The following is a 27,022-nucleotide window of genomic DNA, read 5'->3' on the forward strand; positions in this document are numbered from 1 at the left end:
TAGAGTAGAGCCTTGGGAATACAAAATCTGATTTCAGAGAAACCAGAATTTAGTTCAAATAAAAGAGCCACTTTCTCCAGCTGATAAGACTTTTCCTGAAAGAAAAGCACCAAGTAAGAAACATGCTGGTGATATCTCCTGTTAGTTCTTTACAATCCTAATCAAAACTTTTTTTTAATTTACTTCATTATATACTTCTCTTTTCACATTTTCTCCTGTTAGTTTAATTTTTGTTAGTTTTATTTGTTTGTTGTATGTCTCAGAGTATAATCACATTATTTCAATATACATTGTATTAGATATTTCAGACTAAAAAATATAACTATGTAATTGCAGAATATCCTCAAAGATCTCATTAGAAAGGGAAGCAAATTTTAAAAGAATGAAGTAGGTACTTTTCTTACAGATTTACAATGTTACTAAGCAATAATAATCAGGTAACACCATCAGTCATATATGCATGCCATAAAACTTTAATGTAATAACTAATCACATTTATTTATATTCTTATCAGAAGAGTTGAATGATATAAACAAATTGGCCACCAATACTTTTATGCCATATTCTAGGGAAAACTGGGTTAAAGTAGGAAGAATGAGACTATGTGGGTGACCTATTACATACCACTTTTTGTAGTTTACAAACTTGAATAAGTTTCAACTAGAAGGAAAAATAAGATTAAAAAAACCATTCATTATCTGGATTTCTTTTTTCAAAGAGACAAGGTCTTGATATGTTGCCCAAGCTGGCCTTGATCTTGGGGCTTAAGCAATCCTCCCTCCTCAGCCTCTTGAGTAACTAGTACTAGAGGCATGTGCCACTGTGCCCACCTTCTCTGAGATTTTTTGAATTATTATTATTCAAAAGACCTCCACAATATATTACAGGCCTAAAATTACCTTTGAAATTTAGGCTCATGAGAACAAGAGTTTTTCAAAATTGCTTTTATGATAAATGTTAGTAATGTGATACAGACCTAGTGGTAAGTAGACCTAGTGTCTCCAGACCTGAGGCTGTGTAGAAACAGTAGAATGACCAATGAACTGCTCTTTTTCAATGTTATTAGACTGATGGTCTTACAATTGGTAGTGTATTGGATTACTACAATTCTGGCTTTATCTTTGTATGGAACCTTACAGTTTCAACGTATTTTCACAATGATGATTTCACTCAATTCTTTCAATAACCCTTTCAGGGAGATAAGATCCCCATTTTACAGATAAGAAAGCAGGGACTAAGGGATTTTCCAAAGATCATACAATTTCAGAAATAAGATATGAACCCAGATTTTTTATTTCCAAGATGATACATTTGCCTTCATCTGTACTTCAGTTTCTTTATATTTAAAATGGTAACAATTATATCTATGTGACACAGATATAATTACATTTCTCATTTAATCTTCAACTATTTAGTATCAATTATGACAGATAATACTAAATAATATGCATTTTGAAAGCATTTTGGTATTTAAGTATATAAAAACAAAACCACCATTTCCACATAATATAGGGTGGTAGCAGTAAAGAAACTGGTCAGGTCTGAAAGGGGACTGATGTCAAAGCTGATAATTTCATCCACAGTATTATGCTCCTTCAGGCTTCCTAAGATGTACATCTAAGAGATCATCATGGTACAGACTGGTGAAGAAATTTATTAAAGTAGACTTAAAGTAGATTAACACAGTCTACCAGACTATTAAAAATTTTTAATTAAACACAATAAAAATCACTACACTTAAGTGGCCTCTTTCTGAGAGATTAGAATCTAAAGTCAGCACATAAGAAAAATTTGCATATGGTCAAAATCCCTTAAGGCAATGTCATGTTGAAGACTGACATACTTTCTCTCATACCAGTTATCTTTTTACTTTGGTTGTGTACTAGATGAATTAGTTGGCTTGTATTTCATACTGTATATAAAAAAAATACATAACTTTAAACCCTAGAAACACACTCAGCCTAGCACACATAAAAGAACTGAGACTGACAGGAATAGCAGATTTACATCTCACATTCATTCCAGGGCACACATTCATTGAGCGAAATATTTTAACTTCTCTTTCTTTTTGGCCAAATCTTTATATGCATATGTATTTAAGTAAAGCAAATGTATGATATGACTCCACTGTGTAAATCATTAAAATAGAAAACATAAAGATATATAGCCACACTAATATTCACATACGTGGGAATATATCTCAAATAATTGCCCACACTGCATGATGCTGAAAGGACCCTTAATTTCTATTTCTACACTGTATGTTTTGGTAATAACTTAGTTGTCAGTGTATACATAACCCCCATCAAAGAATGTGAAAGTATATATAAGTGTATATTAAATTTTCCAAAGGATATTTCCAAAGGACCTCTAAAACAATGCTTCTATTTAGACATGCATGTTAGAATCACCATGTCTGCTGCTATTGCCCAGTAATTCTTAATGTTTAACAAAAAGAAAAATATCCAACTTGATTCCAAGAAATGTGTGATCTTCTACAGAAAAAAAATTCTGCAACAACTGCTACTACACATTTTCAACATAACACTTAAAATACAATATACTGTGTTTGAAAAATTAGACAAAATAACATTTAAGAAGTCTAAACTAAAAGAAAGAAATTCTAGAATATTACTCATCTATGATGACTCAGTATAAACTGACATTTCTCCTAGCAGAGGTTTTTAAAAATCCTCTCTATTTATGGAAAGACAGTTAAGCATCACAGTATCTAAGGTCTCAATGTTAAGAATCAGAGAGCTTTAAAAAGACAAATTCACATTCACTACTATTTTCAGTAATATATAGATCCTATTAAATTCCATGTAAATCACATAAATCAAAGAGAAAAATATGATCTACCTATTTAAAAACTGAACTACACGCATACCTATTATTGTAATAGTTTCCACATGCTTAAAACTAAAGTTTGCTTAAATTTTAGTTTTTAATAGTCAGGATTAGTTGTTTACTTTTGCATCTTTGAAGCCTGGAAATATATTTGTTTTGGTTACTCTCCACTTTTTTGTTAATGAACACTTCCATATTGTGCTCTTTTTGAAGAACACCAAATCCACTTCAAAAAGCTGTCAAATCCACAGTCCCATTTTCACATACTGACAATGCTCAATTACTCAAAGAAACATTCCTTTAAAAGTAGACTAATCACTGAAATTTTAATAAGCTCAAACAAAAAATATATAATTTTATTTTATTAATAGTGTCCTTTTTCACTCAACAAGAGGAAGTATACAGGTTTTACTGAATGAAGAATGACTTTATCTGAATTAGAAAGTATTTAATCTAGGACCAGATTTTCAACCTATAAACTCCAGGAAATTTTTCAAGAGAAGTATGGCCTGTTCTCAAGTAGATTTGTACCAGATATGGTAGAGACTCTAATGAATCCAAATAAATTCTCGTCTTCCATCAAAAACAAAACAAAGGAAATTATTTAAATGAGCAAAAGGAAGGTGATAGACACAGCTGAAAAAACAGAATAATATAGTACTCCCCTTCTGTGACCATATAAAATACAGCTTCTACATATTGCAAGCCTCCCCCCAAAGAAAGCTGTGATTTTTCTATTTCTTTGACCAAAATAAGAATTAAAATTACAAAATGAAGCACTTAGAAACATCACAATACTTCATCAATAAACAGATGAGATAATACTTACATTTTACATGTTGTATTCCCTAAACACCCACTAAGAGTCAATGGTATACAAAACAACATGGTACTGGTTCAAAAAAAGTGCATAGACCAATGGAACAGAACAGAGAGCCCAGAAGTAACGCCACACACCTATGACCATCTGATATTCGACAAAGCTGACAAAAACACGCAATGGGGAAAAGACTCGCTATTCAATAAATGATGCTGGGATAACTGGCTAGCCATATGCAGAAGATTGAAGCTGGACCCCTTCCTTACACCACATACAAAAATCAACCCAAGATGGATTAAAGATTTAAATGTAAAACTCAAAACTATAAAAATCCTGTAAGACAATCTAGGCAATACCATCCTGGACATAGGAAAGGGCAAGGATTTTATGACAAAAACACCAAAACACAAAATTCAAAAATTGACAAATGGAATCTAGGTATACTTAAGAGCTTCTGCACAGCAAAAGAAACTATCAACAGAGCAAACAGACAACCTACAGAATGGGAGAAAATATTTGCAAACTATGTACCCAACAGAGGTCTAATATCCAGCATCTATAAAAAACTTAAACAAATTTGCAAGAGAAAAACAAACAACCCCATTAAAAAGTGGGCAAAGGACATGAACAGACGCTTTTCAAAAGAAGACATACATGCAGCCAACAAACATATGAAAAAAAGCTCAAGATCACTGATCATTAGAGAAATGCAAATCAAAACCACAATGAGATCCCATCTCACACCAGTCAGCATGGCTATTATTAAAAAGTCAGGAAACAACAGGTGCTGGTGAGGTTGTGGAGAAAAGGGAACACTTATGCACTATTGGTGGAAATGTAAATTAGTTCAACCATTGGAATGCAGTATGGCGATTCCTCAAACAGCTAAAAGCCTGCCATTCAACCCAGCAATCCCATTACTGGGTATATACCTAGAGGAATATAAAGCATTCTACCATATAGACACATGCATGTGGCTGTTCATTGCGGCACTATTCACAATAGCAAAGACATAAAATCAACCTAAATGCCCATCAATAACAAATTAAATAAAGAAAATGTGGTACATATATATCATGGAATACTATGCAGCCATAAAAAAGAATAAGATCATATCTTTCACAGGAACATGGATGGAGCTGGATGTTATGATCCTTAGCAAACGAATGCAGGAACAGGAAACGAAATACCACATGTTCTCACTTTTAAGTGGGACCTAAATGATAACTTATGAACACAAAGAAGGGAACAATAGACACTGGGGTCTACCTGAGGGTGGAGGGTGGGAGGAGTGAGAGAGGCAGAAAAGATAACTATTGGGTATTGGACTTAATATCTGGGTGATGAAATAATCTGTACAACAAACCCCTGTGACATGAGTTCACCTATGTAACAAACCTTCACAAGTATCCCCGAACCTAAAAGTTACTTTAAAAAAAGAGTCAATAGTATAAATGTGCAATGTTCCATACTGTTTGTTGATAAATTTAAAGAATGAGGGTATTACTAATTCATTCCCTTTTTTAAAAATACAACAATTACTAAAAATGAACAGTATGATGGGCAATTTTTATTTTCCACTTAGTACAAACATAGAATGTGAAATGAGGTGGGTGGCTGGCAAGATGGCCGAATAGGAAGAGCTCTGGTCAGCAGCTCCCAGCAAGATCAACGCAGAAGGCGGGTGACTTCTGCATTTTCAACTGAGGTATGCAGCTCATCTCACTGGGACTGGTTAGACAGTGGGTGCAGCCCACAGACGGTGAGCCAAAGCAGGGTGAGGCATTGCCTCACCCAGGAACTGCAAGGGGTCAGGGAACTCCCTCCCCTAGCCAAGGGAAGCCATGAGAGACTGACATGAGGGACGGTGCATTCTGGCCCAGATACTATGCTTTTCCCATGGTCTTTGCAATCTGCAGACCAGAAGATTCCTTTGGCTGCCAACACCACCAGGGCCCTGGGTTTCAAGCACAAACCTGGGCAGCCGTTTGGGCAGACACCAAGCTAGCTGCAGGAGGTTTTTTTTTTTTCATATCCCAGTGGTGCCTGGAACACCAGTGAGAGAGAACTGTTCACTCCCCTGGAAAGGGGGCTAAAGCCAGGCAGCCAAGTGGTCTATAGCGGATCCCACTCCCATGGAGCCCAGCAAGCTAAGATCTACTGACTTGAAATTGTTGCTCTGCCAGCACAGCAGTATGAAGTCGACCTGGGATGCTTGAGCTTGGTGGGGGGAGGGGTGTCTGCCATTACTGAGGATTGAGTAGGCAGTTTTCCCCTCACAGTGTAAACAAAGCCTCTGGGAAGTTCCAACTGGATGGAGCCCAAGGCAGTACAGCAAAGCCACTGCAGCCAGACTGCCCTTCTGGATTCCTCCTCTCTGGGCAGGGCATCTCTGAAAGAAAGGCAGCAGTCCCAGTCAGGGGCTTATACATCAAACTCACATCTCCCTGAGACAGAGGACCTGGGGGAAGTGGCAGCTGTGGGTGCAGCTTCAGCAGACTTAAACATTCCTGCCTGCCGGCTCTGAAGAGAGCAGCGGATCTCCCAGCACAACCCTTGAGCTCTGCTAAGAAACACACTGCCTCCTCAAGTGGGTCCCTGAACCCCATGCCTCCTGACTGGGAGACACCATTGGGCAGCAGGGTTGGACAGACACCTCATAAAGAAGAGCTCCAGCTGGGATCTGGCAGGTGCCCCTCTGGGACGAAGCTTCCAGAGGAAAGAACAGGCAGCAATCTTTGCTGTTCTGCAGCCTCTGCTGGTGATACTCAAGCAAACAGGATCTGGAATAGACATCCAGCAAACTCCAGCAGACCTGTAGCAGAGAAGCCTGACTGTTAGAAGGAAAATTAACAAACAGAAAGGAATAGCATGAACATCAACAAAACGGACAACCACACAAAAACTCCATCTGAAGGTCACCAAAATCCAAGACCAAAGGTAGATAAATCCATGAAAATAAGGAAAAGACAGTGCAAAAAGGCTGAAAATTCCAAAAAACAGAAAGCCACTTCTCCTCCAAAGGATCACAACTCCTCACCAGGAAGGGAACAAAACTGGACAGAGAATGAGTTTGAAAAATTGACAGAAGTAGACTTCAGAAGGTGGGTAATAACAAACTCCCCCGAGCTGAAGGAGCATCTTCTAACCCAATGCAAGGAAGCTAAGAACCTTGAAAAAAGGTAAGACGAATTGCTAACTAGAATAACCAGTTTAGAGAAGAACATAAATGATCTGATGGAGCTCAAAAACACAGCATGAGACCTTCGTGAAGCATACACAAGCATCAAAAGCCAAATCAATCAAGCAGAAGAAAGAATATCAGAGATTGAAGATCAACTTAATGAAAGAAAGCATGAAGACATGATTAGAGAAAAAAGAATGAAAAGGAATGAACAAAGCCTCCAAGAAATAGGGGACTATGTGAATAGACCAAACCTGCGTTTGATTGGTGTATCTGAAAGTGATGAGCAGAATGGAACCAAGTTAGAAAACACGTTTCAGGATATTATCCAGGAGAACTTGTCCAACCTAGCAAGACAGGCCAACATTCAAATTCAGGAAATACAGAGAACCTCACAAAGATATTCCTCGAGAAGAACAACCCCAAGACACACAATCATCAGATTCACCAAGGCTGAAATGAAAGAAACAATGTTAAGGGCAGCCAGACAGTAAGGTCGGGTCACCTATAAAGGGAAGCCCATCAGACAAACAGCAGATCTCTCTGCAGAAACCCTACAAGCCAGAAGAGAGTGGGGTCCAATATGCAATACTCTTAAAGAAAAGAATTTTCAACCCAGAATTTCACATCCAGCCAAACTAAGCTTCATAAGCGAGGGAGAAATAAAATCCTTTACAGACAAGCAAATGCTGAGAGATTTTGTCACCACCAGGCCGGCCTTACAAGAGCTCCTGAAGGAAGCACTAAACATGGTAAGGAAAAACCAATACCAGCCACTGCAAAAACATACCAAATTGTAAAGACCACTGACACTATGAAGAAATTGCACGAACTAACAGGCAAAATAACCAGCTAGCATCATAACGACAGGATCAAATTCACATATAATAACAAGGTTAACCTTAAATGTAAATGGACTAAATGCCCCAATTAAAAGACACAGACTGGTAAATTGGATAGAGTCAAGACCCATTGGTGTGCTGTATTCAGGAGACCCATCTCATGTGAAAAGACACACACAGGCTCAAAATAGAGGGATGGAGGAATATTTACCAAGCAAATGGAAAGCAAAAAAAAAGCAGGGGTTACAATCCTAGTCTCTGATAAAACAGACTTTAAATCAACAAAGATCAAAAAAGACAAAGAAGGGCATTACATAATGGTAAAAGAGATCAATGCAACAAGAAGAGCTAACTATACTAAATATATATGCACCCAATAAAGGAGCACCCAGATTCATAAAGCAAGTTCTTAGAGACCTACAAAGAGATGTACACTCCCACACAATAATAGCGGGGGACTTTAACAATCCACTGTCAATATTAGACGGATCAACAAGACAGAAAATTAACAAGATATTCAGGACTTGAACTCAGCTCTGGATAAGTGGACCTAATAGACATCTACACAACTCTCCAACCCAAATCAACGGAATATACCTTCTTCTCAGCACCACATTGCATTTATTCTAAAATTGACCACATAATTAGAACAACATTCCTCAGCAAATGCAAAAGAACAGAAAACATAACAAATGGTCTCTCAGACCATAGTGCAATCTAATTAGAACTCAGGATTAAGAAACTCACTCAAAACTGCACAACTACATGGAAACTGAACAACCTGCTCCTGAATGACTACTGAGTAAATAACAAAATTAAGGTAGAAATAAATAAGTTCTTAGAAACCAATGAGAACAAAGAGATAACATACCAAAGACTCTGGGACACAGCTAAAGCAGTGTTTAGAGGGAAATTTATAGCAGTAAATGGCCACAGGAGAAAGCAATAAAGGTCTGAAATCAACAACTTAACATCACAATTAAAAGAACTAGAGAAGCAAGAGCAAAAAAATTCAAAAGCTATAGGAAGACAAGAAGTAACTAAGATCAGAGCAGAACTGAAGGAGATAGACACAAAAAAACCCTTCAAAAAATCAATGAATCCAAAAGCTGGATTTCTTAAATGATTAACAAAATAGATAGACTGCTAGCCAGACTAACAAAGGAGAAAAGAGAGAAGAATCAAATAAACACAATAAAAAATGATAAAGGCAATATCACCACTGATCCCACAGAAATACAGACTACCATCAGAATGCTATAAATACCTCTATGCAAGTAACTAGAAAATCTAGAAGAAATGGGTAAATTGCTCGACACATACACCCTCCCAATATGAAGAAGTGGAATATTTGAATAGAACAATAACAAGTTCTGAAATTGAGGCAGTAATTAACGGCCTACCAACCAACAAAAGCGCAGGACCAAAGAGATTCACAGACGAATTCTAGCAGAGGTACAAAGAGGATCTGGTACCATTCCTTCTGAGACTATTCCAAACAACAGAAAAAGAGGGACTCCTCTCTAACTCATTTTATGAGACCAGGGTCATCCTGATACCAAAACCTGGCAGAGACATAACACAAAAAGGAAAATTTCAGGCCAACATCCCTGATGAACATCGATGCAAAAATCCTCAATAAAATACCAGCAAACCGAATCCAGCAGTACATCAAAAAGCTTATCTACCACAATCAAGTTGGTTTCATCCCTGGGATGCAAGGCTGGTTCAACATATGCAAATCAATAAACGTAATACATCACATAAACAGATCTGATGACAAAAACCACATGATTATCTCAACAGATGCTGAAAAGGCCTTCGATAAAATTTAACACCCCTTCACGCTAAAAACTTTCAATAAACTAGGTATTGATGGAACGTATCTCAAAATAATAAGAGCTATTTATAACAAACCCACAGCCAATATCATACTGAATGGGCAAAAGCTGGAAGCATTCCCTTGGAAAATCAGCACAAGAAAAGGATGACCTCTCTCACCACTCCCATTCAACACAGTACTGGAAGTTCTGGCCAGGGCAATCAGGCAAGAGAAAGAAATAAAGGGTATTCAAACAGGAAGAGAGGAAGTCAAATTGTCTCTGTTTGCAGATGACATGACTGTATATTTAGAAAACCTCATCATCTCAGCCCAAAATTCCCTTAAGCTGATAAGCAACTTCAGCAAAGTCTCAGGATACAAAATCAATGTGCAAAAATCACAAGCATTCTTACACATCAATAATAGACAGACAGAGCCAAATCATGAGTGAACTCCCATTCACAATTGCTACTAAGAGAATAAAATACCTAGGAATACAACTGACAAGAAATGTGAAGGACCTCTTCAAGGAGAACTACAAACCACTGCTCAAGGAAATAAGAGAGGACAGAAACAAATGGAAAAACATTCCATGCTCATGGATAGGAAGAATCAATGTCATGAAAATGGCTATAATGCCAAAAGTAGTTTATAGATTTAATGCTATCCCCATCAAGCTACCATTGACTTTCCTCACAGAATCAGAAAAAAACTACTTTAAACTTCATATGGAACCAAAAAAGAGCCTGTATAGCCAAGACAATCCTAAGCAAAAAGAACAAAGCTGGAGGCATCATGCTACCTGACTTCAAACTATACTACAAGGCTACAGTAACCAAAACAGCATGGTACTGGTACCAAAACAGAGATATAGACCAATGGAACAGAACAGAGGGCTCAAAAATAATGCCACACATCTACAACCATCTGATCTTTGACAAACCTGACAAAAACAAGCAATGGGGAAAGGACTCCCTATTTAATAAATGGTGTTGGGAAAACTGGCTAGCCATATGCAGAAAACTGAACCTGGACCCCTTCCTTACACCTTACACAAAAATTAACTCAACATGGATTAAAGACTTAAATGTAAGACCTAAAACCATAAAAACCCTAGAAGAAAACCTAGGCAATACCACTCAGGATATAGGCATGGGCAAAGACTTCACGACTAAAATACCAAAAGCAATGGCAACAAAAGCCAAACTAACAAACAGGATCTAATTAAACTGAAGAGCTTCTGCACAGCAAAAGAAACTATCATCAGAGTTAACAGGCAACCTACAGAATGGGAGAAAATTTTTGCAATCTATCTTTGCATCTGACAAAGGGCTAATATCCAGAATCTACAAAGAACTTAAACAAATTTACAAGAAAAAAACAAACAAGCCCATTAAAAAGTGGGCAAACGATATGAACAGACACTTCTCAAAAGAAGACATTTATGCAGCCAACCAACCTATGAAAAAAAGCTCATCATCACTGGTCATTAGAGAAAAGCAAATCAGTGCTCACTTTGACAGCACATGTACTAAAAAAAGAGAAATACAAATCAAAACCACAATGAAATTATCATCTCACACCAGTTAGAATGGCAGTCATTAAAAAGTCAGCAAACAACAGATGCTGGAGAGGATGTGAAGAAATAGGAATGCTATTACACTGTTGGTAGAGTATAAATTAGTTCAACCATTGTGGAAGACAGTGTGGTGATTCCTCAAGGATCTAGAACTAGAAATACCATTTGACCCAGCCATCCCATTACTGGGGATATACCCAAAGGATTATAAATCATTCTACTATAAAGACACATGCACACATATGTTTATCGCAGCACTATTCACAATAGCAAAGACTTGGAACCAACCCAAATGCTCATCAACGATAGACTGGATAAAGAAAATGTGGCACATATACACCATGGAATACTATGCAGCCATAAAAAGGATGAGTTCATGTCCTTTGCAGGGACATGGATGAAGCTGGAAACCATCATTCTCAGCAAACTAACACGGGAACAGAAAACCAAACACTGAATGTTCTCACTCATAAGTGGGAATTGAACAATGAGAACACATGGACACATGGAGGGGAACATCATACAGCAGGGTTTCTCGGGGGTGGGGGGCTAGGGGAGGGATAGGATTAGGAGAAATATCTAATGTAGATGATGGGTTGATGGGTGCAGCAAACCACCATGGCACATGTATATCTATGTAACAAACCTGCACGTTCTGCACATATATCCCAGAACTTAAAGTATAGTTTTAAAAAATAGAATGTGAGTAATGAAGAAGAAAAATATACATTCATATATAGAATGTGTAGACTTCTTAAACTTCTTATGCTGACAAGCCTTGATTAGTGATGCTAAAGATTATTTCTCACATAATGCAAATGACAGTTGGTAAAGCTGCTGTTATTACTGCTGGAGAAAAAAGAAGGAAATAAATTTCCTGAAACAGCTCTGTTTTAAAGGTATGGGGCTCACCAAAATTACTGGCAATTGTACTGAGACTGAAAGGAGCCAAATGTCAACTCATATATGCCAGAAGACAGATAAAGAAGTCAAGAAGTTTCAAATATAGTAGTAACCACCACTGTCTTAGTAACGCTTGGATTACAGACATAGTGAAAAATTTGGTAATCATCTTAATTGAAGCAGAAATTTGACCAAAAAATTAAAAATCTTCTCTTCCCCTCCCGCTGCCTTAATACTTTATTCACTAGAAAGTACCTGCAACTCTCTTCATCTCTTTTCCTGGGGAGTCAAGGCCAAGGTGACCATAGGTAAATTATTTAATCATATGGTGCCTCATTTTTAATAAAATAAATTAATTCATATAAAGGAAATATTGTGGATCCAGGTTTCCTTGTTCTCAATTCAAACCCATTATGATACTGTAGTAAAACTCTAACCACGTTTTTCACATGTAGGTCAGTTAATATAAAATATAAATAATAAATTGCTAGGTTGCAGAAAAAAAAGGAAACGCTATTTTCTGTAACTATTTTGTACAATAGTCACAACTTTTTACACTTAGCAAAAACAGGAGGTAACCTGTGTGATAAGTCTTAAGAGTTTCCAAAGTTTTTTCACATTAATTGACTCATTGTACCCTTACATCAGCTCTGTATCCCATTTTACAAATTAAAAACTATGGCTCAAACATGTTGAATGGTTTGTCCAAAAATAAATCACAGAAGTCATAAAAGACAGACTCAAGCTCAGATTTTAATATCATTATTTCTAATTTAGATTAGAGGGCCTGCCTCCCACCTACAATTTGAAGGCTTTTTTTTTTTTTTTTTTTTTTTGAGACGGAGTCTTGCTCTATCGCCCAGGCTGGAGTGCAGTGGCGCAATCTCAACTCACCGCAACCTCCACCTCCTGGGTTCAAGCAATTCTCCTGCCTCAGCCTCCACAGTAGCTGGGACTACAGGTGCATGCCACCACAACTGGATAATTTTTTGTATTTTTAGTAGAGATGTGGTTTCACCATTTTAGCCAGGAGAGTCTCTTGATCTCCTGACCTCGTGATCCGCCTGCCTTGGCCTCCCAAAGTGCTGGGATTGCAGGCGATTTGAAGGCTTTTATATATTCATTCTAGCCATGGCTCTTAAGTGGAGATTTCTGTACCAGTAATACGAATCTCTGGTTCCACCAAGGAACATCTGGTTCCTCTCCTTTAGGCCCTAGAGAGTTCCCACTTGCCAGCCCCATCAGCCTAGTCTTTGCCTCTCATTGGAGGCAGCAGCAGAAGGACCAATGGTAACAACCTTACTAGTAGTTGAGTGGCAAAGAGAAACAGATAAACAAGGGAATACAGTGCTAACTGCCCCCTCTTAAAATGGATTTGTGGCATATTTCATACCTCAAGGTCTTGATTTGCTTTTTAACATTTCATTCACTGAGAAAAATGACGGACATGCCTAATTTGATAGCAAGGCACAAAGAGTTCTTCAGTCCTAGAAACAATATTTGCTCAAATCCATGATAGTTTGGAGCTGGAAGAAACCTTTTAAAGACTGGGTTATATCCTTCATTTACTATATAAGAAAACAGCTTAGAAAGACTCAGTGATTTGTCTAAGGTTACTTTTCTTAAGTTTAATTTTTTTTGAAAAAAAATAAAAAAGGAGTAAATGTTTTTCAAATTTGTCTTTGACAACTTTTACATGGGGAAAACAAATGAAGATCTGCCCAAACTTTTTAGATGTATTATTTTAAGAGCTGCCATTTTTTTGTTTTTCAACATCCTGGCTGGAAGTGAATAAATCAGGGAAAAGGAACTTGTCATTCTGTTTAATAAAAAACAAATACAGAAGAGAAGTCTGCTTACCAAAATACATAATGTCCCATACTACAGCAGTATTCATGATATCAAGAAATTCAAGGAAAGGAAAATAATGGCAAATGATTGCCCAAACTTCCAGGAAGTTTTTTTCTTCCAGAGTTTACTGAAGAAAGTAGATAAAGACAAGATCACCTATGAAGTAAGATATTCCCAGAAAATTCTGTTTGCAAGTAAAAATTGTATTTGACTGTTCTAAAACGAAGGAAGAAATCAGACTTTATGAAGCACATTGGAAAGTCCCATCCTTCCCACCTATGCGTATCCTCATTAGTACAGATGAAATAACGAAAGCCGAGGTCTCACTGGTTATGATCCAAACTGCATGGTCTGGTTTCCACTAGGAAGTAAACTAAATTTCCTAATAAAATGTTTTTCTTTTCCCGTTGAACTGGGTGATTTCCTTGTAAATGATCAATACCATCTCAAAGAAGTATATTTACAGTTAAAGTGGCTAATGACTCATACTTTGTTTTTGAGAATGGTTCCTTTACCATCTTTTCATTGTCTCTCAACTTTCTATCATCTACTTTAAGAATTTCCAGTGCCTCACATCTTTATTAACAAAGTATTACAATCCAGGAATGAAAAGACATCAAAACTGACCAAGATCGAAGTTATAACTCCGTAGTAGCATACAAACAGGAAAGAGAAAACAAACTAGTAAGGCAGACTAACACAATAACCAATGAACTGAAACAGTTCTTCAAGCCAAGCTCTAATGTCAGAGAAGGTAAACCTAAAATTCACTTTATTTATTTCTATTCCTGGAATGAATTCCTACTCTAAGCAAGAATAACAGCAGCAATAAATCTAAAGTAAGACAAGAAATTTTAAGGAAGCCTACCTCTCTACCTTTTTTCTTCATAAGTGTGTGTTTTCTTCAACACACACAGTTAAATATCATAACATATACTTATAGATAAGCTCACTAATCAAAATATCTTACTAGACTGTTTAAAGACTACCTCTGGTGGCTTAGGTGGAACAGAGATACATTGCCTCCTCAAAAAGCCTACAATTGTCCCAAGTTTTTCTGCCAATATTTTTAATGTTCTTCGTTATTTTAACATACTTACTGTTTTATAAAACATACTTTGCAACTAATTTTGCAAGAATTTATCACAATTCAAATTTTGGACTTCTGTCCCTAGGAAAAAAAAAGTTCTAAATTTCTTAAAATATATATTATTTTGTTGCTTCTTTTGTACACTTAGTTTTTATAAAATTCCTTGCATTTTTATAACTTTCAGACACCAAGACAGAGAGAGAGAGAGAAAGAGAGGGAGGGGATTGTGCAATAGAATCCTGCCTCAGCCAACTCTCAGTAGTCTGTTGGCAGAAGGCCTGTGTGTGAACTATTTCCAAGACCTCGGTCTGAAAGGCAGCCAAAGGCTTCACAAAAGAACAGGCCCAAAATGGCTTATTACCTTTCACCTTTGACCTGTGGCCCAGCTACCTCATAGTTTACGAATTTGAAGTCTTATGAGAGAATTCTTTGCCAACCTGTTTACAAACAGCTGACTTATTCCACAGGAACGGTTTGGCAGGACATATCCAGGTCACCTGACCTTGGGTTGTCACAGAAACCATGAGCCTCAGATTCGTGGTTAAGTGAAAACTGCAACATTTTGGCTGAAATCAGTATTGGATTATGCAGCCATCATCAATCATTTAATTACTTTTATGTGTTCATGTCACCAAATTATTAATACAGAAAATGTGAAAGCAATCATACTAGAACCACAAATGGTATAAGTCATGGCTTCCACAGAAAAGAGAAAAAGCATAAATTTTTAAACTGAATATTACAAGTTAATCTCAACTATTACACTGTCCTAGATCCTGCTAAATTTATCAGTACACAACAAAAATCACACGATCTTTTAGTTATTCATGTGTTTTCAAAACTCTAGTGTTTGTCTTAGTCAGACGTTACCTTACATTAGGCTTTTACCTGAAAAAATTACTTGATTAAATCCATTATCTCCAGCATGTTTGAACTAATCCCTCAAGGCTGATGCTTTGATCATTTTGGTGATTCCTTTAAAATAATTAATTCTCACAAATTATTAATGAGTACAAATGTGGCCAGATTTTTTTTTAAACTGGGAAAATTGATTTTAAGAATGAATAAATTAGTGAGTGATCACATTTCAAAGGGTCATTTATTATTCAATGGATTTATTTTCACGAGTTATTTTCTGAATTTCCTAGCCGCACTCAAAACATAATTAAACTTACAAAAATGCTGTATGCACACAATTTATCAGGAATATCTACTCTCTGAAATAAGTACAGCACAAATGAGTTTTCTTAAGTCAAGAAAACTGTATCATTGTATTTACATATATATTCACCACTAAGGAAAATTAAATTAATTGCCTGGATACTTCACAGCAGGGCAGCCACTAGATAAATGGTAAATAATGGATTTTAATTTAGGAAAAGAGTTCTCTTTTTTAATCTAAGAATGATGATGATGATAGGTAACATTTATTGAATGTACTGGGCACTACTGCAAGCACTTTACATCGATTAGCTGATTTAATCTTCAAACCACTCTATGAGATAGATATTACTATCATTTTCATTTTACAGAAGAGGAAGGTAAGGCTTAAAGAGGTTAGGATATATCTCTAGTAAGAGAAAGGCTTAAAATTTGGCCTTAAGCAATGTCGTTTAACTTTACTGCCTCTCAAAACATAGCCTCTAGGCCAGGCGCAGTGGCTCACACCTGTAGTCCTAGCACTTTGGGAGGCCGAGGCAGGCAGATCACATGAGGCCAGTTCAAGTCCAGCCTGGCCAACATAGTGAAACTGTCTGAAATCCCAGCTACTTGGGAGGCTGAGGCACGAGAATCCCTTGAACCCAGGAGGCGGAGCTGTAGTGAGCCGACATTGTGCCACTGAACTCCAGCCTGGGGAACGAGCGAGTGTCACAACAACAACAAAATAACATAGCCTTTAGAAAACAAAGTATACAAGCATTCAAGTAAAATAACATGTTATTACTTAGAATTATAATATCAAATACAGCTTCATAAAGCACCCTCACAAAAATTATCTCATTTGAGTCTCACGATTACCCTGTGAGGTAATACTATCATTCCTATTTTACAGATGAAAAAAGTAAAGCTAAGAAAGATTTGACTTATCCAAGGTTACTTGGCTAGCAAATAATAAAGTGAAGATGCCAATACATGTGTTCTAATACCATACCTTATATTTTTCTTACTATAATGAGTCTTTTTATTTCACACTCAGATCTTTTCTAAGATGAAATATTATTCACTCAACAACAATTCAAATGAAGAACTCCAATAAGAATTAGATAAGAAATAACAAAATAAAGGCATCCTTAATTTAACATTAAACAAATTATCATGAAACAATTTAATGAAAATAAATCCCATTTTCCATACTTAAAATCATATGATTCCTAGTAGCAAGATTTTCATTTTCCTTACTTAGTGTCCATAAATACATTCTTAATTCAAATAATGAGAAAAAAGAGGTAGGAAGGCCTATACGGAAGGCCTATACCCAAAGGATTATCCTATGACCCTGCCAGGCAGAGAAGTAGATCATCCAGGAAACAAGTAAATTACGATCCAGCCGGTGTAAAAGCTATACCAAAAATCTGATTTAAAAACCTCTATTGGTCCACCTCCTATGAACATTTTTAAAGAGGTTCACCACCACCTACATTATTAGCAATATTAGGCTAGGCATATTACATCGAAGATCATTTCCAATGTGGGATGCTCCTAACTCTTGGTTCTCCATTGTCACTGTTTGTCCAAAAGCCAAAAACTATCTGTTTCAGAAAAACACAGATTTTAAAATAGGCATCTATAGGAATTAGATGGTATGCAATTTTAGGAAGCAACATATTTACCAAAAGACTAAATACAATATCTGCAAAGCAGAAAGTATGTTAAGGAAAGTTAACTCATGAGTTACTAGAGCAAGAGATTTTACAAAGCTATCCTTAAACAGAATGAGAGACTCAGACAAAAAAAAAAAATGGAAGGAATAAAGGTCGTACCTTTGCTCATCTGTGACAAAGCTCTCTCTTTGGTCATGTCTGTGGCATAACTACAGCCACTATAAAATAATAAGTTAAAAAATGTATTAGAGAAGGTAAAAAGAAAAAAATAAAAAACAATGTGAAAATAAATATTTGAGGAAAAAATTTAAGTATTTTAAAATAATAAATATAAAAAATTTAAAAGGGAAAATTAAAATAGAAACAGAAGTCCTTAGAGATTTCCTTCTACAATAAACGGAAAAATTTTAAACAATCAGCATATACATGACAACATGAAACTTTAAAACAGTGTTAACATGTTGATGTATACAACAGAATAAGTCTGTAAGAAGCAAGAAATAAAAAGATACTGAGAACACAACAAAAAAAGAAAACTATAGCCCAATATCCCTCATAAGCATAGACGCAAAAATTCTCAAAAAGACACAAGCAAACTAAATTCAACAGCACATTAAAAAGATCATTCATTCTGATCAGGTGGGATTCATCGTAGAGATGCAAAACAGTAAATGTGATATACCACATTAACAGAAAGACAGACAAAAACTATAAAATCTTTTCAATAGATGCAGAAAAGCATTTGACAAAATTCAACTTCTCTCCATGATAAAAACTCTCAACATATTAAATATACAAGACACTTAAACACAATAAAGGCCACATATGACAAACCTATGGCTAACATCATGCAAAAGATCAGGAAGAAGACAAGGATGCCTACTTTCACCACTTCTATTCAACATAATACTGAAAGTTCTAAGTAGAGCAATTAGACAAGAGAAAGAAATAAAAGACATGCAAACTGGAAAGGAGGAAGTAAAACTGTTTGCATATGACATGATCTTATATATAGAAAACCCTAAAGACTCCACCAAAAAAATTGTTAGAATAAATGAATTCAGTAAAGTTGCAGGATACAAAATCCACATACAAAAATCAGCATAATTTCTATATGCTAATAGTGAACTATGTGAAAAAAACATAGAAAACAATTCCATTTCCAATAGCTACCAAAAAGTAAGATACCTAGGAATAACCTTAACCAAGGAAGTGAAAGATCCCTACACTGCAAACTATAAAGCACTGATGAAAGAAATTGAAGAGGACACAAATAAATGGAAAGATATCCCATGTTCATAGACTGGAAGAATATTGTTAAAACTGTCATACTACCCAAAGTGATCTGCAGGTTTAATGCAATACCTGTCAAAATACCAATGACATTTTTCATGGAAATAGAAAAAAAAATCCTGAAATTCATACAGAATCACAAAAACTCCAAATAGCAAAAGCAATCCTTAGCATAAAGAACAAAGCTGGAAGCATCACACTATCTGACTTCAAAATATACTACAAAGCTATAATAACCAAAACAGCATGGTACTGGCATAAAAATAGATAAATAAATCAATGAAACAGATTAGAGAGCCAAGAAATAAATTTATGTACCTACAGCCAACTGATTTTCAACAAAGGCACAAAGAATAAACATTACAAAAAAGACAATGTCTTCAATAAATGATGATGAGAAAACTGAATATCCATATGTAGAAGAATGAGAATAGATATCTACCTCTCATTGATATGGTTTGGCTCTGTGTCCTCACCCAAATCTCATCTTGTAGCTCCCATAATTCCCACGTGTTGTGGAAGGGACCTGGTGGGAGATGATTGAATCATGGGAGTGGGTCTTTCCTGTGCTGTTCTCGAGATAGTGAGTGGGTCTCATGAGATCTGATGGTTTTAAAAATGGGAGTTTCTCTGCACAAGCTCTCTTTTTGCCTGCTGCCATCCAGGTAAGACATGACTTGCTCCTCCTTGCCTTTCGCTATGATTGTGAGGCCTCCGCAGCCATGTGGAACTGTAAGTCCAATAAACCTCTTTATTTCATCAATTGCCCAGTCTCAGGTATTTCTTTATCAACAGTGTGAAAATGGACTAATACACTCATCATGTACAAAAATCAGCTCAAAATGGATTAGACTTAACTATAAAATCCAAACCATGAAATTATTAGAAGAAAATATAGGGGAGATGCTTATGGCATTGGGCTGGACAGGAATTTTTTAAATAAGACCTTAAACATATAGGCAACAAAAGCAAAAATACACAAATGAGATTACATCAAACTAAGATGCTTTTACACAGCAAAGGAAACAATTAACAGAGTGAAGAAACAAATATTCTCCTATTCTCCTACAGAATAGGAGAAAATATTTGCATATTGTACCTCTGACAAGGGGTTAATATCCAGAATATATAAGGAACTTAACAACAACAAAAAACTCAATTTTAAAATGGGCAAAAGACCTTAATAGACATTTCTCAAAAGACAACATACAAATGGTCAATAGGTATATGAAAAAATGCTCAATATCACTAATCAGTAGGGAAATGCATATCAAAACCACTATGAGATACCACCTCACTTCAGTTAGAATGACTATTTTCAAAAAGACAAAAGAAAACTAGTATTGGCAAGGATGTGGAAGAAAAGAAACACACTGTTAACAGGATTGTAAATTAGTAGTCATTATAAAAAAGAGTATGGTGGTTCTTTAAAAATCTTAAAATAGAACTACCATATGATCCAGCAATCCCACTACTGGATATACAGCAGGTACTCCAATAACATTTCATTCAATGTCCTTCATTATAAGGCATATAAGAAAAAAAATTGATTCTCAGCTACGCCACTGTCTGTCTGGAATTTGCACATTTTACTCATGTCTGTGTGGGTTTTCTCTGGGTACTGCAGTTTCCCCACATATCTCAAAGATGTGCATGGTAGGTGAATTGGCATATATACATAGTCCAGCCTGAGTGAGTATGGGTGTGTGTGAGTGAGCCTTGCAATGGTATGGTGTCCTGTCTAGGGCTAGTTCCTTCCTTGTGCCCTGAGCTGCAGGGATGGACTCCAGCCACATACAACCCTGAACTGGCATAATGGGTTGGAAAATGAATGAATGAATGAATACAAATTATTTTAAATTAAAAAGTCATGGCTGGGCACAGTGGCTCACACCTATAATCCCAGCACTTTAGAAGGTTGAGGCAGGCAGATCCCTTGAGCTCAGGAGTTCAAGACCAGCCTGGACAATATAGTAAAACTCCATCTCTACTAAAAATACAAAAAATTAGCCATGCATGGTGGCATGGGCCTGTAGTCCCCCACTGCTCGGGAGGCTCAGATGGGAGGATCACCTGAACCCAGGAAGTTGAGGCTGCAGTGAGCCATAACTGCGCCACTGCACTCCAACCTGGGTGATGGGAGTGAGACTGTTTCAAAAATTAATAATTAAATAAATAAATATTCACAAAATATACAATAATCACACAAATGTACAACAACAAACAATGCTGCACGAAAGTGTTGAGCATGCCCACCATATTTGTGATTGTTTTTGAACCTAACAGTTGTAGGAAATACTTCTTATAATTTTTCTTTACAAACATTTATTCCTTGATTTAATGCATTGCCACTACAGCCACTGTCACTCACTGATTCACAAAAAGATGAGTAAATAATTATCTTGTTTTTATTAATCTTTCTTAAATATACATGTAATTCACATTTATTTCAATGTTTAGTATTAGAAATGTGGGTCTTTAGAAGTTTAGTGATGTTTTTATAATCAGAAATATACCATAGGAACTGCCCCTTGTTTCTATCAATTAGCCTTTGAAAAAATTGGTTTCGTTATACATCACTTCACTTAAAGTCAGTTTCCAAGAACTTATAGACAATGTTAAGGGAGGATTACTGTATATCCAAAGGAAAGCAAATCAGTATATCAAAAAGACATCTGGGCCAGGCGTAGTGGTTCATGCCTGTAATACCAACACTTTGGGAGGCCGAGGCAGGCGGATCACTTGAGGTCAGGAGTTCGAGACCAACCTGGCCAACATGGCGAAACCCATCTCTACAAAAAATAGAAAAATTAGGCAGAAGTGGTGGTGTGAGCCTGTAATCCCAGCTACTCAGGAGGCTGAGGTAGGAGAATCGCTTGAACCTGGGAGGTGGAGGTTGCAGTGAGCTGAGATTGCGCCTCTGCACTCCAGCCTGGGTGAAAGAGCAAGACTCCATATCAAAAAAATATATATACATTTTCACTCCCATGTTTATTCCAGCACTACTTAACAATAGCCAAGATAGGGAATCAACCTATGTATTCAACAACAGATGAATGGATAAAGACAATGTGGTATATATACATAATGGAATACTAATCGTCCATTAAAAAAATAAAATCCTGTCATTTGTGACAACATGGATGAACCTGGAGGACATCAAGTTAAGTGAAATAAGCCAGACACAGAAAGACAAATACCACATGATCTCACTCATATGCTGAATCTTCAAAAAAAATTATAGAGGCAGAGAGAACAGTGGTTACCAGAGACTGGAGAGGGATCAGGGGAAGGAGGGAATGGAGGATGGGAAGAGGTTGGTCAATGGGTGCAAAGTTACAATTAGACAAGGGGAAAAAATTCTTGTGTTCTATTACACAGTAAGGTAACTATGGTTAACATTAAGGTATTCTCTATTACAAACAGCAAGAAGAGAGGCCTTTGACTGTTCTCACCACAAAGAAATGATAAAGGTATGAGATGATGGATACACTAAGTAACCTGATTGGATGATTATACAACAAATATATCATATTGTACCCCATAAACATATATAATTATAATGTGTCAATTAAATTTTAATTTAACTAAATAAGAGACAGAAAGGAATAAAAAATAAAGCAGTGTCAGTGTCTCAAGATACTAAGACAACCTATGTGAATTAGCCCAAGATAAGCCTACCATGTACAACAAAAAAGCAAATCACTTGGCTCCTAGAATATGCCTCATGACCACAAGTGCAACTCAGGGATCTTGATTAACTCAATAAATTTCTATGTGATCAGTTTATTCTCAATGTTTTAAAATCATCACCAGTATCATTTCAAAAATTTTATACTACAGTTGTCACTGGTTTTATAAATATGCAAAAATGATGTTGTTTGGGGATCTGGGGATAAATGTGTCATGAAAAAGAAAATAGAGAATCACTAATGTTGAATACTCTCTTTGAATGGAAGGAATATGTCTGATGAGTGTCTGTCACCTGTTTAAAAAGAAAAAAAGTAAGATCTTTCAGAGTAGTCCTGAGATCTGTTCTCCAAAAAGATGTTTCTGGTTTCTGTTTCCTTTTCTTTCTTTGTATTTCAAGGGCTGTAGCTCACTCTGCTTGCAAAGCCCATCATTCTTTGCAGCTCTAGTATTTCACCCAATAGGCTCAAGGGGCTATTCTCATGGAATCTTATCTGCTTGCCAGCATCCATTTACTTTTCTGACATTCCAGCACTAAAAATTGCTTTGAAGCCTTCAGTGTTTCCTCTATAATGCAAATAGATAGAGGTAGTTTTAACATGATTTTTGACACTTAATTCAAAAGTGACCTGTTATGGTTTTAGTGGAGTTGTGCTAAAAATCTAAAACAGGAACATATCCTAGAAATGTGCAAGCCAAGATAAAGAAGAATTTTTCCCTTCAAAAAAAATTTAAAACACACACACAAAAAAACACACACAAGTGTACACTTTGCCACTGGAAAATACAATAAAATTGTGGTACAGCTGAAATTGAGAGACTCTGGGGGAGAAAAAGCATGGGAACACCAATACAAAAAAATGGTCACTCCGTTCTACTGTGCAAGTACATGAGTGCTTATGATGACACACATATTACTGGTTTGATAGAAGAAAATGACTTTTTACTTATAACAGTTTAAAAATTAATGCTTCAAAACACTTTCCAACGTTAGCCCTCACTTTTTCTTTTCTCCTGCCTCAGGTTTCCCTAACCACCTCTAAGTGTCACCTTCTACCTGCAGATTCTGTCCTACCCTTGTATTTGAGTTAATTTTGACTGAGGTAAGAAATACACAACTGCTTTAAAGCACACTTCATGTGTCTCTTACCATTTGGTCTTTCACCACATTGAGGTAGGAGGGGTAAATTGGAAGGAGGTGAGAATGGTAAATACAATCAATTGGTTTCCATGGTGTCTCCCAAGCTTCACTCCTCCCATGTGATAAGCAGGCCCACCATAAAGTTTCTGAGGCTTCCTTTGCCTCTCCTGTATTCCAGTCAGAATAAATGAGTTCTCACTATACTTTTTCCTCCTGGGAACAACAGTATGTTAAGCCATGGTCTTTCAGTCTCCCTCAATGGAAATCAATAACCCTAATCCTGATAGCTGTGGTCTTAAACCTAGTGGCTATGCCTCCTCCCTAAATGTATCAATGGACTTCTTCCTATATGACTGCTCTCTTAAATTGGAATCACCAACTCAGTTTCTTACTGCTTGGTTGGTATACCTGTGGGGACTTTGCAACTTTACCCTGGATCCCCTGAACAACAGTTTTTACTCAAAGTATAACTGGATATAATCGAAAATTTGAACATCAGCACCATTGTCCCTCAAACCTTCCACTACCCCTTTATTAGGACAGCAACCTTTCCACCTGTCCTGCTTGAGAAATGAAACCTATTGTCAGCCCTGGCCTCTCCATCCTGTATGAGCTACCCAACCAGACTGACTCAATAACAAGCAGGGCAGGAATCAAATAAGGAAAGCAAGACACTCACATTGGTGCAAATTTAAGGGGGTGTCAAAAAAAAACTCAGCAAACACATTAAATAATATTTTAATGCAATGTTTTAAACAATCAAAATTAATGTAAAAATCTACAATGAACAAGAGATCAAAATTTTAAATATTATTACTTATTTTTCTTTTTGCCTCAGGTTCCAATATGGCAAAGTACTTTTAGTGATTCTGTCTTTATTTAAAGTTTTGACATTTTATTCATTGTGCATTTTGTGTGAGGCAAATGCCTTGCGCATCTCACCTTAGTCCTGACCCTGCCAACAAGTACCAGGGTAAAACATACTAGATGAAAAATGTGACCTTGATAGTAATACTCATGAAGAACAAAAACTGGCTTAGAAAATTTTCTGTAATTGGAATGTAAAATTTGAAATAAATTACTTAGTATGAAATAAAACCTGTGAAAGTATGACAACTTATTAAGACCTAAAAATTTTTAAATTATAAACTATCTTCTTGAACTTCTATTTTCAGTAATGGAAGGTTAGGTTATTTGGACCTTGGCATTATTGATATTTGGGGCTATGTAATTTGTTTGTTGTTGGGGGTGGCCTGTGCATTATAGTAAGATCAACAGCATTGCCGGTCTCTCCCCACCAGATGACAGTAGTTCCCCCAACCCCAGTTCTAACAACTAAAACATCTCCAAACATTATCAAATGTCCCCTAGGGGAAAAAAATCATCCCCAGTTGAAAACCACTAGTTGAGGCCATTCCTCCTGCTAAAAACTGAAAATGCAGAATTTTTTTAAATGCAATCACTTAAAGCACTAAGCTGACAAGATAATGGGGAACTGTCATGCCAAATCCTGGGTGAAGTAAAAAACCCAAGTTTACCTTTCTGGTAAGAAGAATATCGAACACCTAAGCCAATTTGCCTTGAGGACATTTGCCTGTTGGCAAATTTAAGCTTCAATTCTGAAACATCAAAGGCAAGGGGTTTAGAAATCAAGGCTCAAGATCCCATGTAAGGTGGCACATAGACCAGAAAACTCTCTCTGCATTAAGTTAGACCTCAAAGGGCTATACCTAGAATGAAACCTGCCGTCCTCATTTCCCACCCACCCCAAGGACTTCCATGAAGGTTGTCTGGACACTAAGAGGAGCAGAGGAGGAAAGAAAAGAGAAATGGCAAAGGAGGGAAACATCTGTCTAAAAATCTTTGGCCACAGCCTGGCCCTCATTAGGATTTACTGACCAGGTTCTCATCACCTTGATTGATTGCGGAATTTCAAGCTAAGATTTTGGTTGAAATGATCCCAAGATCCTCGGCAAAAGCAAATGCAAATTATTCCTAAAAGTTATCTTCATTTAAGCCTCCAGGACTCTCCAAATAATTTTGCAAGGGCAGTAAGAAAGATAACCAAGCATACAAGGAAACAAAGCAACATGGGCAAAAACATGCATAATTACAGGACAACTGAAACAGACCTACTAAGACTTCAGATATTAGAATTATCAGACACAAATTATAAAACTACACTTGCGTATTTAAAAAATTAAATGGCATGATTGAAAATATCTCCAGGGATAGGAAACTACAAAAAAAATGGAAAAGTAATTTGAGAAAGAGTCAAATGAAATTTCTAGAAATGAAAACACAATGACTGAAATTTAAAACTCAATGTATTGCATTTGCAGCAGATCAGACCCAGAAAATGACAGAACTAGTGAACTGGAGGGCAGATAAGAAAAAAAAAATGACTCAGAGAGTAGCCTAGGAACCAGCATGCATGAAATGGTGAGAAAATCTAATATATGTTTACTCTTGAGTTCCAGAAGGACAGAAGAAAGAATATTTGTGGAAGCAAACTCATATTTTATCAATGGTAACTTACAAACTTTTTTAACATCTCTGAAATCAAGACACATCTCAAAACTGACAGTTTCTTATAATTACTGTTGGCCAGGCAGCAATCATAATGTATTTGTGCTATTCATGTTATCCTCACTTCAGCTGACTTATGTACATTATTGGTAGTAAATAAGTTGAGTTTAATTGTTGCTTAAAATGTCTTCCAATACTATGATTCAGCATTGAGAAGTTGTTGCGATATGTATTGCACTTCCAAAAAGTTTGTTAAAAGTGTATATACAAAGGCCCACAGTCTGACATTAGTGAAGAAAATACTTGTAATTGAAGTCATGGCCACAGTTCAATGGTCATTAGATTCCTGCAAAGCAAGAAAAGAGAAATGGGAAAGGAGGGACTAAGTACTTAACAGGACCTAAGAAATGAAAATATTTGAGACTCTAGCTCAAAAAATAAAATAAAATATTTTTATACAAAGTTAATTTAAAACTAAAGATAAGTGGGAACTCAGTAATTAAATGAACAAATATAGAACATGATTATATGAGGAACCATAGATCAGGAAATTAATAAAAGTGAAAACTAATTTTCACAATGAGCTCACAGGCAGCCAAGACAAAA

General features: G+C 36.4%; 1 long non-coding RNA gene across 54 annotated transcripts in view; it reads right to left on the bottom strand.

Moving 5' to 3' along the window:
• The window catches only part of NR2F1-AS1 (NR2F1 regulatory antisense RNA 1), a 176,234-nt gene that overhangs the window by 107,907 nt on the left and 41,305 nt on the right, over positions 1-27,022 (bottom strand). For 7 of the 54 annotated variants that reach the window (NR_186212.1, NR_186183.1, NR_021490.3 and 4 more), the window contains one exon: positions 24,610-26,762. The exons of 46 other annotated variants lie outside the window; for them this stretch is intronic. This is a non-coding gene — a long non-coding RNA (NR2F1 regulatory antisense RNA 1). Of the gene's footprint in view, positions 1-17,922; positions 17,982-24,609; positions 26,763-27,022 lie in introns of those variants that run through there. One more of the 54 variants, NR_186198.1, reaches the window with a different exon arrangement.

Source organism: Homo sapiens, chromosome 5, assembly GCF_000001405.40.
Source record: "Homo sapiens chromosome 5, GRCh38.p14 Primary Assembly".
Classification (NCBI taxonomy): Eukaryota; Metazoa; Chordata; class Mammalia; order Primates; family Hominidae; genus Homo; species Homo sapiens.